Here is a 19,923-nt window from a genome sequence, read left to right as displayed (position 1 = left end):
GGTGAGAGGAGCACTTGCGTCCAGGAGTTTGAGGCTGCAGCGAGCCAAGATTGTGCCATTGCACTCCAGCCTGGACAACAGAGCGAGACCCTGTCTCAAAAAAAAAAGAGTTAATGTCAACCTGCATATTTAGGATATATGATTGTCATGACTAGAGATAAGATTAGTGAAAATTCACATAATTGGGAAATTTGGGTCATGAAGGCTGGAGAAAGTTACCATGAGGTAACTTTAGCAAAGAAGAACCATTTCTGTTTCTGGAAGGAGGTCCTGTTGCAGTGTGAGCAGGGCCTTGGAATTGGAGTGTTCTTCTCTTGGGCTCTATCTTGTATGATTCTAGAACTCCACTGCTATGTACGCTTGTTTTTCTGGGACTTTGACCCTGTAGTTGACCTGTAGTCCCAATGGATACTGGATATCATCAACTGTAGCTCAGAATCACTCTTGCTCTTTTTATTAGAGCTCCTCCTTGGCTTAGCTGTCTGGGTCATAAGAGAAAGTGTGGGTTCCCATGTATTCTAATTGGGACTGGTGTACTACTTAGTCTGTCACAATTCATACATATTTATGTATGTAAATTTTTTAATTTTTTGCAGGATTCTGTTAGAGCTTTTGAACATCCAGGTTTCATCATGAGGCTGATTCTTGATAATGACACCATTAAGTTTGAACCTGAGTTGAGTGACTATATAGATATCTTTCTAAATGTTTATGACGTCATGATTAAAGCTGTCAGTTTTGTGCCAAGAGTTGAGACAAAATTGTATTCCAAGTGGGTAAGTAACAAGGATATTAAGATTGCTTGAATTTGCATAATGACATTCACTTCAAGTAACTTCTGAAAGTTGAAGGCAGGTATCCTCTGCTTCACAGAATATAATAATGTTGGCTTATAAGAAAGTTTTCCTAAAAAACTACCATTTTCCAAATGGCCTCTCAAAATATACCTACTTTCCTAGTTTAGTCTTCCTTTGGACTTAGCTAAAAACTTTCTGAGGAGAAGGAATTAAAGTTGTGATCAGGTTTGAAGCAGCCAATGAGTGTTTACTGTAGCTCTCCTACCATTTCCTGTAAACTCATGCCATGCTGTAGGTCTCTTTATGCTTTTCCAGCTCTGTAAAACTGTCCTCGAGTTTATTACTCCCCTCATATACCTTTTTCCGTAATAGTGAGCTCCTTTATACTTTCAACTCATAGATCTAATCTATGACATTTCCACAGTAGTTATTGGAATCTAGTATATGAAATGAGCATGTCTGAAAATTCTTCAACTTACAATGTTTTCTAGTTTTGTAAGTCCAATCAGAAGCTTTCTCCTTATTTTTGTATTTTTAAAATAACTTATACATATTTGCTGTATACAGAAGAGTGCAGGAAACTAGTGTGTAAAGGCTTCAGTAGTAATAAAGTTAACACCTAAATTGGCACAGCCCATCTTGAGGGATAGAATATTGCTGGTACCTTTAAGCTCTTCCCCTTTGCTCCTTCTTGTTTACATCCTTATCTCTCCACCTTCTAGCAAAAGAATCACTATCTTGAAGTTTTGAGCTTTTGTTCTTAATTTTGAAAAATAGGCTTACTACTTGTCTGTTTATTACTAAACAATTTATGTTTAGTTTTTCCATGTCTTTGTATAAGTGGAAGCATCTTATAAGTAATTGGTGTTTTGCTTATTTCACTTAACATTATATGAAATTATCCATTTTGAGGATATCCTTTTCATTGAGTTTCCAATTTTTTATTCTATTTTTATTTTTCAGGAATTCCATTAGGTTCTTTTCAAATAGGCCTAGTCGTTTTTGATAGTCTTTTATACTTAGTCATGTTTTCATTAAGCTTTTACTTCTCTTTACACAGATTAAATATTTTTAATACTCTGTATGCGATACTACCAATATCCACAGTTTTTGCTGATCTGATTCTGCTGTTTGCTGACTCCTGCTCCTGGTGGTATATTTCTCTGGGTATTTTTCCTTTATTATTATACTTAGGCTTGTAAGAAGTTTATGAAAAAAGTCTTTGAGGACTTGGTTTAAGTTGATTCCTTTGGAGTTTCCATATTCTTGTGACAGGTGCTCCCCAGACCCTTGCAGACCAAGGACCATTTTTAGCTGAATTCTTGCTTAATGATTTCAAAGACAATACTGGTTGTGCGAATATTCACTCAAATCTGTGTGAAAATAGACTTGTGGTTACAAATTCTTAAGGCAACCATCTTTTGTTTTTTTCCTCTACAGAGAAACAAAGCAAAACCAGGACATTTTTACTTTTCTCATATTCAAAGGTCTGTCACCTTTCAGCATTCTGAAGTTTCGTCTCCTCAGAACTCTCATTTTAAGATTGTGTCACCCTTCAGTGTTCTTGGCTTTACATGGAGATGCCAATTATGACTTCCAACTTTGCTCGACCTTGAGGCTTTGTTTCCTGGCAGCCCCTCCCATGCATCCACCTTGCCGGAAACTCATTAAAGCAAAGCTTAGACCACCAAGGATCAGCAGGGTCCCCAGGGCAGCTGCTCACTTCTGCACATAATGACCTTTCAACTCATGCTTTCTCTCATTTTGGTCCCTTAGACTTTTTTTTTTGTTGTTATTTCCTTAGCTATACGTTATAAAAGATAAAGTCAGCTTTATTATCCTGGCATATTTATGTGTTTTGAATTGAGTAGTTGTTTTCTGGATATCTATTCCTCATACTACCATGAATAGAAGTCTCTCAAGAAACATACTGCTTACTTTGTCTTTTGTGTAATTCTAGTTCATCTATTGCATTCTTTTCTATTCTGTTTGTACCCTGACTTTTTCAAGAATGATTTGACGTAACTTATGAAACAAGACAAATTTAACAAGTTAGTAAGAAAAGAATTAGTAGACAAAGGTCAAGTGAAGAAAAGTAACTTTTTTTTTTTTTTTTTTGAGTTGGAGTCTCGCTCTGTTACACAGGCTGGAGTGCAGTGGTGCTATCTTGGCTCTGCCTCCTTGGTTCACACCATTCTCCTGCTGCTCAGCCTTCTGAGTAGCTGGGACTACAGGCACCCGCCACCATGCGTGGCTATTTTTTGTATTTTTAGTAGAGATGGGGTTTCAACGTCTTAGCCAAGATGGTCTCGATCTTCCTGACCTCGTGATCCGCCCACCTCTGCCTCCCAAAGTGCTGGGATTATAGGCATGAGCCACCGCACCCAGCCATAACTTTTATAATTATCAAAAGGAATGCAGTTGCTATAGTGTTACAGTTATAAAATATGGCCCCAAGCTTCCTGGTTTCTAAAGGAAAGTATGACAAATTTTAATTATGATTAGAACAGTTAATTGAAACTTCTCAGGAAGAGAGATGTTTTTCATGGTATCAAATTTTGAGAGATAAAGCCTACAGTTGGCATCATTCATGGGTAATGGTTCTGAAACCGTATGGATTATCATCATCTGGTAACACATTTTGTTTTTCAACTTTTATTTTAGGTTCAAAGGTACTTGTGTAAGTTCGTTACATGAGTAAATTGCCTGTCATTAAGGTTTGGTATACGAACGATCCAAATTCCAGGGATCACCATCACCACTCACCATTGTCCCTTGCCCCAGAGATACAGATTCATAAAGATGGAGTCAGTACTCAGAAATCAGTACTGGTAAAATATGCCTAGATGATGCCCTACAAGTGATATGTAGGGTATCATGAATAGGATAATTGAACATGATCTCAGTGATCTTTGACAACAATTGCAGAAATGGAATTTATATAGCTGTTTCTTAACACAACCTTTGGTAGAAATTGAAAGTGAACTAAAATACACTTTTTTTTTTCATGGAAGGTAAACCTGCAATGGGTTAACGCACCATGAGTCCAAGCATATCACTATCTCCTGATTTAATGTGATATGCTTTAGAACATCTGGAGGTGTCTCATACAAAATATCATTTCTCATAACTGTTAATTAGGAGATGATTAAATTCATATCAAAATGAATGACTCCATCTTGCTCTGTCACCCAGGCTGGAGTGCGGTGATGTGATCTCGGCTCACTGGAAGCTCTGCCTCCTGGGTTCACGCGATTCTCCTGCCTCAGCCTCCCCGCGAGTAGCTGGGACTACTGGTGTGCGCCACCATGCCCAGCTAATTTTTGTATTTTTAGTAGAGACGGGGTTTCACCAGGTTGGCCAGGATGGGTCCGGATCTCTTGACCTCATGATCTGCCTGCCTCGGCCTCCCAAAGTGCTGGGATTACAGGCATGAGCCACCATGCGTGGCCCCAAAATTATACTTTCTAATATAGTTTTGAAGTCGTAGTATCCGATTCTGCTTAGAAAGGTAAACCTATAGGCTTTACAAATTAGATAGGCTATTAATAAATTTAAGAAACAATCTATAGTGAATATTAGCTTCACATGAGATCAAGTAATTTTACATTGCACACAGTACATCATATAGATTGCTTTATCTTAAAAATTTCTGTTTTCCAAAAAGATGATACCAAGCATCTAATGAGCCCAGGTGGGAAACAGTGGTGGGATTCACTAATGTTCTCATGAAGTACCTAGTTCTAAGCAAGATGATTTCCTGAAATGCCCACTGGGGGAATAGTAGGCAAATGCCCCATGGATAACTGAGAAAATTACCCAGTTGCCTAAGGAATCCTTTGATACTATCAATTTGAATGTTGTAGAATGTCCACTGCAGACATGATTTTGTTTTGTTACAATATAGATAAAATCTGGGCAACAGGTAGAGCATATGTATATTTAAGAGTAAGTTGGGGACGGGCATGGTGGCTCATGCCTGTAATCCCAGCACTTTGGGAGGGCGAGGCGGGTGGATAACCTGAGGTCAGGAGTTTGAGATCAGCCTGGCCAACATGGTGAAACCCTGTCTGTACTAAAACTACAAAAATCAGCCGGGCATGGTGGTGGGCACCTGTAATCCCAGGTACTCAGGAGGCTGAGGCAGGAGAATCACTTGAACCCAGGAGGCAGAGGTTGCAGTGAGCTGAGATCATGCCACTGCACTTCAGCCTGGGCAACAGAATGAGACTCTGTCTCAAAAAAAAAAAAAAAGATTAAGTTGGTTCAGGTAATAAACCATGTGGGCATATTTACTTGTCCTCTAAAATGGAAAGAAAAGGAGATAAACTGTTAAGATTTGTTTGCTTATTTAAAATTGTTGTCTGGTCCATTCTTGCCTACAATTATTATAATCCTGAGAGCAGAATGCAAATTTTGCAGCTAAGGATTTTAGTCTGCTCTGGTTGCTGTTCACAGAATCAAAGATCAAAGGTCAGTGAATAAGTAGTCTTTCTTTGATCTAGATAGATTTCTCCTCAACGTGAAAAAGTATTGTGTTTAAAGATTATGATGATATGACATTGCACTCTAGTGTATTTTCTGTCAACAGTGAACAGTGCAAGCACTGCCTTATAAAGCTAGCATATATGATTGCACAAAGTGTGGATTTTTCTGTGTTCATAAATGGGAAGAATTAACTATGTTAAAATGTCCATACTACCCAAAGTGATCTCCAGATTTAATGCAATCTCTATCAAAATACCAATGACATTCTTCCCAGAAGCAGAAAAAAGAATCTTAAAATTCATATGAAATCACAAAAGACCCTGAATAGCCAAAGCAATCTTGAGCAAAAAGAACAAAGTTGGAGGCATCACATTACCTTACTTGGAAATAGACTACAAAGCAGGAGGCAGCAGGGGTTGCTGGAGAGTTAGGGAACCACTTCCTCTTGCACACAGGCTTCCTGGCCTGGGACAGTCCCAGCGCCCTCGCATCTGCCCAGCACCACCACCCTTTATCTTCTCTCCCTAGTCCCCCACTGGTGCCCGCCTTCACCCCCACACCACTGGTCTGTTTGGCCCTCCGGGTCCCCTCTCTAGCTGGCCTCCCATCTTCCCCTGCTGAGCCAGGTTGGTTTCGGAAATGCCCTTACAGCAGCAGGCAAAGTGAAGCCTAGAGCTAGGAAAGGCGCTCACAGTACCTCTCAGATGGTTTCAAAACCCCTGAGGGCAAAAGAAGAGCTGCTCTATGAAGTCCAGATAGTCCTAAAACTCCAAAAATCTCCCTCAGAAAAACGCCATATGATACATCCCTTGGTGTGCTCACCAAGAAGTTCATTCAGCTCCTGAGCCAGTCTCTCCATGGGGTCTTGGATTTGAACAAGGCAGAAAAACTGCTAAAAGTACAAAAGAGAAGGACTTATGATATCACCAACATTCAAAGCATCTCCCTCATTAAGAAGTCTAAAAATAGCCGGGCATTTTGGCTCATGCCTGTAATCCCAGCACTTTGGGAGGCCAAGGTGGGCAGGTCACGAGGTCAAGAGATCAAGACCATCCTGGCCAACATGGTGAAACCCTGTCTCTACTAAAAATACAAAAATTAGCTGGGCATGGTGGTGTGTGCCTGTAGTCCCAGCTGCTCGGGAGGCTGAGGCAGGAGAATCGCTTGAACCCAGGAGGTGGAGGTTGCAGTGAGCCGAGATTGCGCCACTGCACTCCAGCCTGGCAACAGAGCAAGACTCTGTCTAAAGAAAAGGAAGAAGGAAAACATCCAGTGGGCTACAGTCTGTCTGAGGATGAGGACATGCTGGCCCAATGTCAAGGCCTGTCAAAAGAAGCAACCAAGCTCAGTCAGGAAGAGAAAAAATTAGATGAACTGATCCAAAGCTATACCCTGGACCTCAAACTATTAACCGCAGATTCAGAGAATCAAAGGTTAGCTTATGTTACGTATCAAGATATTTGAAAACTTAGTGGTCTTAAAGACCAAATGGTTATAAGTTGTGAAAGCCCCTCCAGAAACAAGACTTGAAGCACTTTACTCAATAGAGAGCCTACAGATACATTTGGCAAGTACCCAAGGACCAATTGAGGTTTACTCCTGTCCGGAAGAGATGGAAACACACAATCCAGTGAAAACAAACAACCAAGACCACAATGGGAATATCTCTAAACCCAATTCCAACGACTTGGATTCAACCAACACAGGACATGGCGATTGGTCAATTTCTATGGCAAACCTTTCTCCCTTGGCCTCCCCAGCCAACTTTTTACAGCAGACTGAGGACCAAATTCCTTCTAACCTAGAAGGACCATTTGTAAACTTACTGCCTCCCCTGCTGCAAGAGGACTGTCTCCTGAGCCTTGGGGAGGAGGAAGGCATCAGTGATATCTTTGATGCTGATGATTTGGAAAAGCTTCCACTGGTGGAAGACTTCAGGTATGGTTGATTATGCTTCATGTGCATTCTCCTTACAAATCAATAATTTTTTATCATGGGACCAGAACATCTGTCATGCAGTGTGGTCCCTTCCTACTTTCTTCCTCCAAGAAATTATCATGAAGTAAACTACAGACTTCAGAAGAAAGCTGACATTTTAATGAATTTAAAAAAATAAACAACTTGTCTAAATGCACAGTTGCAGGCTCCCTTGGGAAAACCCTGCTTTTCTCCAGGCTCCATGATCTCCTGGATAAGTCAGGAAATGAAAAAATATGCAATCAGGTGTTTCTCACTCTAACTTTTTCTTCCTCCATTCCTTCTTCCCGGATTGGCTTGCTGTGGCTGACAGATGGGCTGTAGAATGGGGTCTGGCCACCTGACCCACTGGTAAACAATGATCTTCCTTAATAGCATTTCAATCTCTGCCTTCTCCACAGAATGTATGCCTTTGGGGTATGCTAATATGGAATGGAACTGCCGCAAATGCAAACTTGAAGTCATGCAAAAGTATGAAATGGACTTCAGTTCTTCTTAGAAATATTTAAATTCAATTTAAGCTCTGGACTCTGTGTCCCAGAAGGAGGGGACACAAAACTTCCTCAAAACCCTTAAAAGCTCCATAGCCTTTAGGATGAAGAACCTGTTTTCAAATATACTTGTTGCAGTTACAGAAGACTAGTAGAGTTCTGCCACTCTAAGCTGTTGTGGATTTTTCTATCTCCATAAACTGTGCCCACTCCCCTATCCCCCACATGTTTGTGACTTTCCAGTTGATTTGTAGTAAATGCCTACTTAGTTCTTTGTGGATTATTTTAGACTTTTTGTATTTTTTTTAGCTGCCATTTATGTATTCCTGTGACATTCATCACCATTTCAATTTAATTGCTTACTTTGAAGGAAATTTTACAAATTCACATTACATAAGCAGAGGGACAGAACCTCTCCTGATTAGAACATCTAAACCTGTGTGATCTGAGGTTTATCAGGCTCTGCAAGAAGCATTGTCCCATCTTGCTTCCACTCCCAGCTTGGAGCAAGTCAGTCCTGGGGCTTGCTGACAGGAGTGACCCATTGGAAAGGAGAACCAGGTCAAATGATGTAACAGTCCCAAGGAGCAGCAGGCATGGATCCCTTAATCCTTGTGCTTCCCACACCTCTGTTACTGGGAAAGGACTGTTAACGCTGCACTCGGAGACCACTTCTCAGGATGGGGTCAGGTGGAGAGGCCTCTAGGGAGAAAGACATTCCCATTGTGTGAGTGGCATTTTCTTAAGCTGGCAGGAACAGGGGGCTCCCACTGTGTCAGAGGCTGGAATCATTCTGGCTAGACCCTGTTCCCCTTCCTCTATGAAGGAATGAGTTGGACCAAGGAAAGCCAGGATGTAGAACATGGAGCAGAAGAATGCCAGGGCATTTCCCGCTTTACTCTTCAGGAATGGCGTCCCAAGTTGGAGGGTTTGTGTCAGCTGCAAATCCTACCAGTTACGTTGAAGAATAGCTTTCCCATTGGCAGGAGGCAATGGCCATCTCCCACTGGGAATATGGCATAGTACCTTCAATCCATTTTTTGGATACTAAGGACTGTGGGAATGAGGGAGTCAGATAAAGAACAAACCTCAAAATGAACAGTTAAATTGAAATGCTATGTGCCTGACCCAGTGGCAGGCACACAGTAGGCACTCAACTCATACATGTTTAATTGAATTGAAAATATCCCTTAGGAAATAAAAACAAACAAACAAAAAAACACAAAAGCCCCAGCCAGTTTACTGCAGGAAGATTTCTACAATATGCAAAGTGGTTGTGGGGTCAAGACAGATGACACTAGTGCTTTAAACTCTTTGTGTGGGTGTGCATGGGTGTAAGTTTGGGAAAAAAACAAAGGTGAAGACTATCTGCCTTTTTCTTCTTCAGCTTCCACCTGTGGTCTCCTCCCTTCACACACACTAGACTTAGTACAAAACATCAGTGTGGTCCGAGAGGAAGCATTGGGGTGGAGGAGGGAGAGGGAGCTTTGTGTTGTCTACTAGAAATGCACTGAGGTTTTTTTTCCTGTATGGGAAACCATTTATGCCAAGCTTTTCCCTGTTTCCCATATCTATCTCATCTGGTTAGCTGCCTCTACTTTCAGCTTTGTGTAATTATCTTTGCCAGCTGCACAAAGCTGATTTTTTGCAACATCTAAAGACAACTCACCTGGCTAGGTTGTTGTGTGTTTTGTTGAAACTTTTTGTAAGGTAATGCTGTATTTATTGTTTTAAAAACTAAAGGAATCCTAGTAAATCTTAAAAGTTTCTTCATGCATAAGATTTTTCCGGTTGCTGGGCTTAACTGATGTACATTAATTAGATGTCCATACTGTATTCTTGCATCGTCATTTTCTTTTTGACTTAGTATCTGAGCCCACAAAGTGAGTTAGTAAGTACCAGTTTTTGCATTACTTTAAGTTCTAAGTATGCAGGTTTCCTGGTACCATTGGTTGCTGCTATTAAAGCTCACATATTGTATGGCTGAAAGTTACAAGTGTGCGAATTATGACTGCATGAGCCTTAGAAAATAAAATGAATAAAGGGCAACACATTAGCATGACAGTGTTAGGTGTGTGTTTATATGTACAGGGTTCTGCATAGCAGTTGTTTTATTGAAGTTGATATGTAGTTTGCTCACATTTTTATTATTTAGCAATTTTGTACAAAAATAGCAACTAATTTGTAAACACTGCCAGAATATTTTCTAGCTGTTTTGTAATTTTTTAAAAGTGTTATTTTGTTTTGTTTTATTTTTGTTGTGGTTCTTGTTTTCACTTTTGTTTATGTATAGATCTGTAAATAAAATTGCAGTATTTAAAGCTTAAGCTTTCAGGAAAAAGAAAGTAAGAATTCACTGTGTGCATGACAACTTATCTGTATGAGAAGGAGGGATTTGAAGGAAGATTCCTTGCAGAGAAAGTTGGGTGGCAATTGTCAGCATGTGGGAATTTATTTTCCTACAGGGTACATGATTTGGTAGAAAGGAAATATTTCTCCCAAAATTGGGAGTAGGCAAACTATGAGTCAGTTTAGCTTTGTGTTGTATGCTAGCTTAAAAAAGAAAATATGTAATGTAATGTAAAAAACAGCCAGAAAAAAGCTTTTATGATGAATTTTGTAAATAGATTTGTTACAGGGTGACCTGTTCCCTAGCTGTGATCTAATCACCTCAAATGGGTGTAATTTGAAAAAATGTCGTATGGTAAAGTATCAATAAAATGATTTTAAACACTTAAGCATATATATATATATATGTATATATATTTAAGTATATATATGTATATATATTTAAGTATATATATGTATATATATTTAAGTATATATATGTATATAAGTATATATGTATATATTTAAGTATATATGTATATATATTTAAGTATATATATGTATATATATTTAAGTATATATATATACACACACACACACACACACACACACACACACACACAACAAAGCTATAGTAACCTAAACATCATGGTACTGGCATAAAAACAAACACATAGACCAATGGAATGGCATAGATAACCTAGAAATAAATCCACACTTCTACAATAACTTTTTTTTTCGAGACAGGGTCTTACTCTGTCGCCTAGGTTGGAGTGCAGTGGCATGATCATGGCTCGCTGCAGCCTTGACCTCCTGGGCTCAGGTGATTCTCTCACCTCAGTGCCCTTGGAGTAGCTGGGACTACAGATGTACACTATCACTAATTTTTTGTGTTTTTTGTAGAGATGGGGTTTTGCCATATTGCTCAGGCTGGTCTTGAGCTCCTGGGCTCAAGTGATCTGCCTGCCTTGGCCTCCCGAAGTGCTGGGATTACAGGTGTGAGCCACCATGTCCAGCCAGTAACTAATTTTTGACAAAGGCACCAAGAGCATACATTGGGAAAGGGATAGTCTCTTTAATAAATGGTGCCAGAAAAATTGGATATCCACATACAGAAAAATCAAACTAGACCCCTGTCTCTCACCATATAAAAATCACCTCAAAGCGGATTAAAGATTTAAATGTAACACCCAAAACTGTGAAACTGCTAGAAGAAAATATAGGGCAAATGCTTTATGACATTGATCTGGACAAGGATTTTTTGGATAAGACCTCAAAAACACAGGCAACAAAAATAAAAATTGACAAATGGGATTACATCAAACTAAAAAGCTTCTGCACAAAGGAGGCAGTGAATAAAGAGCCCACATAATGGGATAAAAAATTTGCAAACTGTACATCTGTGACAGGTCATTCTTGTATCGCTATAAAGAGATACCTGAGACTGGATAATTTATTTAAAAAAGAGGTTTAATTGGCTTATGATGCTGCAAGCTGTACAGTAAGCATAATGCTTGCATCTGCTTCTGGGGAGGCCTCAGGAAGCTTACAGACATGATGGAAAGTGAAGAGGGAACAGGTGTCTCACGTGGCAGGAGCAGGAGCAGGAGAGACTGGAGTGGGGAGTTACCACACACTTTTAAATGACCAGATCTCATGAGAACTTGTTTGCTATGGCAAGGGCAGAACCAAACCATGAGGAATCCACCCCCATGACCCAGACACCTCCCACCAGGCCCTACCTGCAACACTGGGGATTACAATTCAACATGAGATTTGGCAGGGACATATATTCAAACTATATCAATGTCTGACAAGAGGTTAATATTCAGAATATAAAAGGAACTCAATAGCAAAACCAGAAATAATCCTATTATTGATGGAAAACCTGACAAGACATTTATCACAAGAAGATATACAAATAGATGGCCAACAGGTATACTAAAAAATGTTCTACATCTCTAATTATCAGAGAAATACAAATAGAAACCACAATGAGATGTCACCTCACTCTAGTTAGAATAGCTGTTCTTGAAAAGACAAAAGATGATGTGTTGACAAGGATGTAGAGAAAAGGGAACCCCTACACACTGTTGGTGGGAATGTAAATGAGTGCAGCCAATATAGAAAACAGTAAGGAGGTTCCTCAAAAAATTGCAGGTAGTACAACCATATGATACAGCAATCCCACTATTGGGTATATATGCTAAAGGAAAGGAAATCAGTATGTTGAAGAGCTATTTGCACTCCCATGTTTATTACAGCACTATTCATAATAACCAAGATATGGAATTGACTTAAGTGTCCATCAGTGGTTGAATGGATAAAGAAAACATGATATATATATACACAGTGGAATACAATTCAGCTATAGAAAGAAGGAAGTCCTGTCATTTGCAATTATATGGATAACCCTGGAGGGCATTATGTTAAGTGAAATAAGCCACACAGAAAGACAAATACTGAATGATCTCACTTATATGTTGAATCTGAAAAAGTTGATCTCATAGAAATAAAGAGTAGAGTAGTGGTTACCAGAGGCTAGGAAGGGTAGCAAGGAATGGGGGAGATGGGGACAGGTTGGTAATTGAGTACAAAGTTAGTTAGATGGGAGGAGTAAGTTCTGGTGTTCTATTGCACATTAGGGTGACTATAGTTAACAATAATGCATTATATATCTCAAAATAGCTAGAAGGGAGGATTTTGAGTATTTTTACTACAAAGAAATGAGAAATGTTTGAGGTGATGGATTTACTAATTATGTTGATTTGATCAATACACAATGTATACATGTGTCAAAGCATCACATTGTATTCCATAAATATGTATAATTATGTGAATTAAAAATAAAATTTAAAAATGTATATCTTGCTGTTTTTTATTCTAAATATTATTTTGTATATATTTTCAATTGACTGTTCTTTCATCCATACAGAAAAACGAAACACAACTAGGTAGCCTTAAAGAAAACAAAAAATTATATGAACCTAAATTTTAAAACACTGCTGCAATTAGTCTAATATCTTTCTATAGATTAGAGGTTAAACAGTTAAAACAACCTTGTGAATAAAAAGACAAGAAACATTGTAAGATTGGCGTTTGTACAAAGATAAATGATATAGTTACTTTAAGATATTTTAAATACTATTATTTTTACCCCCTTGTTTAGGAAAGTAAGTCTAAACCAACAACCTTGAAGCCCATAATTCTGAATGAAATTGTAGATGCTCACAAAGAAAAGATCAAGGAAGTTATTATGAAAGAGAGTGTGGCACCTACTGAGCACCTCAGACTCTATGACAAGTATGACTTTTTAATTACCAGAAAAGCTGAGCGAGATGTTGATAACTTCCTCGCAGAAAATCATAGTTATGAAAAAATAATAGATGAAATTTGCAAATACCAGAAACTAATAGAGGAAATACAGTACACATCCATAAAGGTAAATGACTCCAGTTTTGTGCAACTGTTATCTCTATCTGGTATCTTTTCCCCAGTTTTATTAGGATGTATTTTTAGAACACAGATAATTAGAACATTATCATCAACAGGAAAAATATTTATTGAGCTTCTGATGTGTCCCTAGCATTGTGGTAAGCCCTGAGTATAAGAATCTAGGCAAAACACAATTCTTGTGCTCATGTAGCTGAGACTCTACTACCGCAACTCTGACACGTATTTTATATAATTTGCCCCATCCCTATAATTCCAAGAACCTATTTGATTTTTGCCTTAGTGTTTATAAATCCTGTGGATTTATATGGAAAATATGGTAATTACACCAAAATATGGTTCTGTTTAGTAGAATACTAGTAACTTAAAATTTTCTTTTCTGTCCCCCTTTACATTTTCTAAATTTTCTACCATGAACATGTATTTTTTTTGTACAGAGCAACTATAACGTTTGAAACCTACATTATTTATTTAGCAATACAGTAATTCAATTCACCAAAATTGTTATTGCTAATATTGTCCTGAGATTGAATTGGCTTCCAAGATAATAAACTTTTCAAGGATATTTACCCAGAAGATAGTTGTATAATACAAATGATTATTTGGAAAACCCTCCCTGAATTATATATATTTTTAAAAATCTCAATCTTGTTACATCACACACAAAAATAAAAATTATGAGAATGGCAAAATTGTGAAAATTTATTTGTTTTATTTCTTCTTATGTTGATTAAACTTTTAATCTTTTGCAGACTATTCGTTTAGGAATGTTTGAAATGCACTGTGAGGAATTAATCAGAGCTTTGGTGAAGCGAGCAGATATTATTTGTGGGAAACTTCTAGCTAAAATGTTCAGAGATCATCAGGAAGTAAATACAAGGTATTTATGTGATACTGGTTTTTTTATTTTTTGGGAGGGGATGTTTAATAGAATCAGCTGTCACTCAACTAGAGTAATTGATTAAAGCAATGCCATAAATGATTCCAAAGAAATGATTATGCTAAACTTATTTCTGCTTGGCTTTAAGTGTCACTTTGTGATGTGATTATTAGTATTTATTATTTTTTTCACCACAAATGTGCCTCCCCAATTGTCTGAGTTAAGGTGGTATTAAAATGTGTATTTCTTTTACACAAGTCAAGTGGACATTATCTAAATTCAGATTTTTATATTTGTGTAATCAATATGCAAAGTGGGTTTCAAAGTGGATTTACATAGTAGTTGTTATGGGTCCTAAGGGACCATCACATTTGAAACTTCATCTTCCTAAAATTACTCTTGAGGGCCATGGTAACTTTTTCTTTTATCTGGAAATTCATTTGTGACTAACCTAGGGATTTTCGGGAAAACTGACCCATGTTAAGTAAACTCACAGAATACTAGTGTATAAAGCAGAATACCTGTTTCTTTAAGACAAGAAGAACTAGTCTTCCAACAACTGGTGGTAATGTTGCTCTGGGAATCTCTCGACTAGCATCAGTTACATGGGTGAAAAACTCTAAATAATCAGGATATATTTTATGATTATGGTATCAGAGAAAAAAACAGATCATTAAAAATATTTCTTTCAAGCTGTATAGAAGCCTGAAGGAAGTTTTATTTACCTACCATGTGTTAGGCACAAGACTAGCCACTTCGGCTCTAAGGCTCTAAACATGAATAAAACTGCTGAAGGAAGTTACAATGTAGAAGGAGAAATAGACACACAAACCAGTAAATTACAATACCATGCAATAAGTACTGTAATGAGCCACAAGGTAGAACAGAGAGGACAGAATTAATTTCCTCCCAAGATGGAGTTTGGGGGAGAGGGGAGAATCAGGGAAGGCTGCAAAGAGGAACTGACATGTGAATTTTATTTTGAAGGAAGAGTGGGAGTCCGTCAGGTGTACAGTGTGGGTAAAATAATTCCAGGAAGAGAAGATAATATGTAGAGGGCAGTGAGGTGTGAAAATGGCAGGGTGTATTCCAAGAACTAGGAGTGTTTTGCATTGCTTTCACAGACAGCGTGAGGGAAGAGAAGTGAAAGGAAAGGCTGGGGATGAAGGTACTGTGTGAAAGAGGACTAGGACTTGAGTACCTTATCTAGGAACCAGATCATATTTTCAGCTTAAAGCACCTTTTCCTGTAAAAGAACTAGAAGAATAGTGAAAGTGTCTTCTTATTGCTGTTCATGCTGGGTGAAATACTTATTTTAATTTCGTAGCTACTTCCCCTGCCTCTTAATGTTCTCTGAGCTTGTGCCAGTTCTACTTTTTCCCATTTTCTCCTAATTATGCCTCTTGCCTCTCACCAGACTCCCTAGGATGGACAGAGGACATATCAGGACTATTAAAGGAGTCATTAGATATGAATGCCTTCCACTTCTTGCCCCTGCATGGTTTGACTCACCTCTCCAGAAAGCCTGTCTCCCACCTACTCAGAGGGCAGAAGTCTGTCACACCATTCAGTTTTTCTCTCTGCCTAGGAGCTCAGCCCCATTGCTTTCAATGCCTCTGAACCTGGCTCCTTCAGTTATCCCTTCTATATTCCTTATTTTGAACCTCTCCTTCCCGGTTGATTTTCCCTCTGAAGGTTACAAACATGTTGGAGGCCCTCTTTCATCTCCCAGCCCCAGACTTTAACCCATTATCCCCATGCTGTTCCACTCTCCTTCACCTTTCAGCCAATCTTACTGAAGAATTGTTCTATTCGTTTCATTTGAACTCCCTTAGCTCTTGCTACTTTTTTTTTCTGTATGCCAAAATAAGTTCATGGTTTGTATTGGCAGCAACCCAAATCAGTAGGAAATATTTGCATATTACTGGAAGTTCCTGAGCACACAGGCCTATTTTAAACAATCCCTCCAAGTATAGTTAATCATTCCTTTCCTTTGTACTACTTTCTTTGTGCCATCTCAACTAAATCTCTCTTAGAGCCCTTAAAGCTCAGGTTGGAAATGATTGTTCACAGTCCTATCTCCCTTACTGTATTGTGAGTTGCTTGAGGGCCATTATGCTATCTGATTCATTTATGTGTCACTGTCACAGTATTATAGTTAAAAATGTACTAGATCATCAAATGTGCACTGAATAAGTAAATGTATGCAAATTTGCTTTTAATTATTAGATGTCATATAGCTAAGTTATAGTTTTTATTTTTCATGCAATGGAATATTTAAACAGTATACAGGAATATATTTTGGAATTAAATTGAACTGTAAATATGTAAGATTGGTTTTACTTGGTGTTTCAGATTATGCGATGAATTTGAGAGGATAGCTGAAAAAGCTCTTAGCACTCCTCCAAATACAGCAGAACTAATGGAAATGAAGGTATTGTTTATAGCTTCTCCATAATTGTGTGTGTATCAATTAATTATTGACACAATAATGCGGAGTAACAAATCACTCGAAAAGTTAAGACAGATTAAAAATAATAATGACTTTCAATTAGCTGGGTGTGGTGGCATGCGCCTGTAGTCCCAGCTACTCGGGAGGCTGAGGCAGGAGAATCGGTTGAACCCGGGAGGCAGAGGTTGCAATGAGTCGAGATTGCGCCACTGCACTCCAGCCTGGCAACACAGCAATACTCTGTCTCAAAAAAAATAAATAAATAAAATAAATAAAAAATAATAATGACTTTCAAAATACATAGCTCATGAGTTTGCAGTTTGGTAATTTAGGCTAGATGCTCCTGGTTGGTTCTTCTGGTCTCCATGGGGTCACCCTGTTGGGTCACTCACTTAGTTGGGTTGACTAGTCTAACTAACCTTCAGCAGGTTGACTTGGCTCCACTTGTCCCTCAAGCCCCAGCAGGCTCATCTGGGTGTGTTCTCATGTCATGGTACAGACATACAAGCAAATTCAATTGTACAAGTGCTTTTCAAGACTCTGCTTGTGTCACATTAGCTAACATCTCATTGACCAAAACAAGTCTGATTGAGAGGACCCTACAGGGCATGGATACTGGAGAGGTGAAGTATTGGAACAATTAATGCAATTATCTATCAGGTTATTTTTGAGAACACGCAACAATTATTGCCATGCTAACAGGAACAAACCAGGACTGTCCCGGGAAGCCTGAGCTGTGTAATCACTCTTCATTTGTTTTATCAACAAATATTTAAGCCTTAAGTGACATTTTATTTTTTATAAAAGCTGTATTTTGTTTATATTAAGCTTTTCTGTGATAGTTTGTTGAGCTATATTTAGGCATAGAATTTATGACACTGAAAATATTAGATAAGTCTCACTTTCATCATTTCTCATGTTACTTCTATGTTTGAAGTTGATATAGTTTGAATGCTTGTCCCCTCCAAATCTTATGTTGAAACATGATCCCCAGTGTTGGAGGTGGGGCCTAGTAGGAGGTTTTTGGTGGATCCCTCATGAATGGCTTGGTGCCTTCCTGATGGTAATGAGTGACTTCTTGCTAGTTTAGTTTTCTTGAGATCTGATTATTAAAAAGAGCCTGGCACCCCCTCCTTTCTCTTCTGCTCCCCCTCTTGCCATGTGTCACATTACCCTTTGCCTTCTGCCATGAGTAAAAGCTTCCTGAGGCCCTGACCAGAAGCAGATGCTGGCACCATGCTTCTTGTACAGCTAGCAGAACTGTCAGCCAAAAAACCTATTTTCTTTACAAATTTACCCAGCCTCAGGTACTCCTTCATAGCAACACAAAATGGATTAATACAGAAGTCTACCTAATGGCAAATAAAATAATGTTAAACAACTAGCTAATTGCCATTTCATTTTGTTTACTTTTCATTCTTATAACATTAAGTTTTTGTGGTATTTTTCCATTATTATTCAAAAAATCCTTTTAAATTTTGTTTTTAATTTTCATGGGTACATAGCAGGTGCATATATTTATGGGGAATATGAGATATTTTGATGTAGGCTTACAATGTGTAATAATCACATCAGGGTAAATGGGGTATCTGGCACCTCAAGCATTTATCCTTTGTGTTTCAGACAATCCAATTACATACTTTTAGCTATTTCAAAATGTACAATTAAATTATTGATATAGTCATCTTGTTATGCTATCAAATACTAGATCTTTTTCATTCTTTCAAAATATTAATATATTTTTGCACCCACTAACCATCACCACATCCCCCACATCCACCCACTACCCTTACAACCTCTGGTAACCATCCTTCTATTCTCCACTTCCATGAGTTCAATTGTTCTAATTTTTAGCTATCACAAATAAGTGTGAACATGCAAAGTTTGTCTTTCTGTGCCTGGCTGATTTCACATAATGACCTTCAGTTCCATCCATGTTATTGCTAATGACAGAATCTCATTCTTTTTTATAACTGAATAGTACTGCATTGTGTACCACATTTTCTTTTTCTATTCATCTGTTGATGGACACTTACATTGCTTCCCAATCTTGGGTATTGTGAATAGTGCTGCAACAAACATAGGAGTGCAGATATCTCTTCAATATACTGATTTCCCTTCATTGGGGTATATACCAGCAGTGGGATTGCTGGATCATATGGTAACTTCAGTTTTAAGTTTTTCAAGAAACCTCCAAACTGTTCTCCATAGTGGTTGTACTAATTTACATTCCCACCACCAGTGTAAGAGGGTTCCCTTTTCTCTGCATTCTCAGCAGCCTTTGTTATTGCCTGTCTTTTGGATAAAAGCCATTTTAACTGGAGTGAAATGATATGTCATTGTAGTTTTGATTTGCATTTCTCTGATGATTGGTGATGTTGAGCACCTTTCCATATGCCTGTTTGCCATTTGTATGTCTTTTGAAAAATATCTATTCAGATAATTTGCCCACTTTTTCATCAGATTATTAGAGATTTTTCTATAGAGTTGTTTGAGCTCCTTGTATAGTGCTGCAATAGTATAGTTCTGGTTATTAATCCTTCGTCAGATGGGTAGTTTGCAAATATTTTCTCCCGTGCTCTGGGTTGTCTCTTCATGTTGTTGATCGTTTCCTTTGCCATGTAGCAGCTTTTTAACTGGATGTGATCCCATTTGTCCAATTTTGCTTTGTTTGCCTGTACTCGTGGTGTGTTACTCAAGAAATATTTGACCAGTCCAAGTTCCTGGAAAGTTTCTCCAATGTTTCCTTGTGGCAGTTTCATAGTTTGAGGTCTTAGATTTAAGTCTTTAATCCATTTTGATTTGATTTTTGTATATGTTGAGAGACAGAGGTCTAGTATCATTCTTCTGCATATGAATATCCAGTTTGCCCAGTACCATTTATTGAAGAGACTGTCCTTATCCCAAGGTATGTTCTTGGCATTTTTCTCGAAAATGAGTTCACTGTAGATTTATGAATTGGTTTCTGTGTTCTCCATTCTGTTCCAATAGTCTGTGTGTCAGTTTTTCTGCAAGCACCATGCTATTTTGGTTACTGTAGCTCTATAGTATAATTTC

At 38.2% G+C, this 19,923-nt stretch overlaps 1 protein-coding gene and 1 pseudogene across 11 annotated transcripts in view; both read left to right on the top strand.

The window, feature by feature from the left end:
• DNAH7 (dynein axonemal heavy chain 7) overlaps positions 1–19,923 on the top strand; it is a 331,135-nt gene that overhangs the window by 67,358 nt on the left and 243,854 nt on the right. For 10 of the 11 annotated variants that reach the window (XR_922968.4, XM_011511488.4, XM_011511490.4 and 7 more), the window contains 4 exons: positions 597–776; positions 13,251–13,523; positions 14,287–14,414; positions 16,770–16,848. Coding sequence is in view for 10 of the 11 variants with exons in the window: in XM_011511488.4 (XP_011509790.1) it covers positions 597–776; positions 13,251–13,523; positions 14,287–14,414; positions 16,770–16,848 (660 nt within the window). In the remaining variant the exon portion in view is untranslated. The remainder of the gene's footprint in view (positions 1–596; positions 777–13,250; positions 13,524–14,286; positions 14,415–16,769; positions 16,849–19,923) is intronic. The other variant, XM_017004504.3, reaches the window with a different exon arrangement.
• E2F3P2 (E2F transcription factor 3 pseudogene 2) lies at positions 5,786–10,481 on the top strand (annotated as a pseudogene).

Source organism: Homo sapiens, chromosome 2 (assembly GCF_000001405.40).
Source record: "Homo sapiens chromosome 2, GRCh38.p14 Primary Assembly".
NCBI lineage: Eukaryota > Metazoa > Chordata > Mammalia > Primates > Hominidae > Homo > Homo sapiens.
The sequence above is the reverse complement of the archived record's forward strand: the minus strand, read 5'-3'. Positions and strand labels throughout refer to the sequence as shown.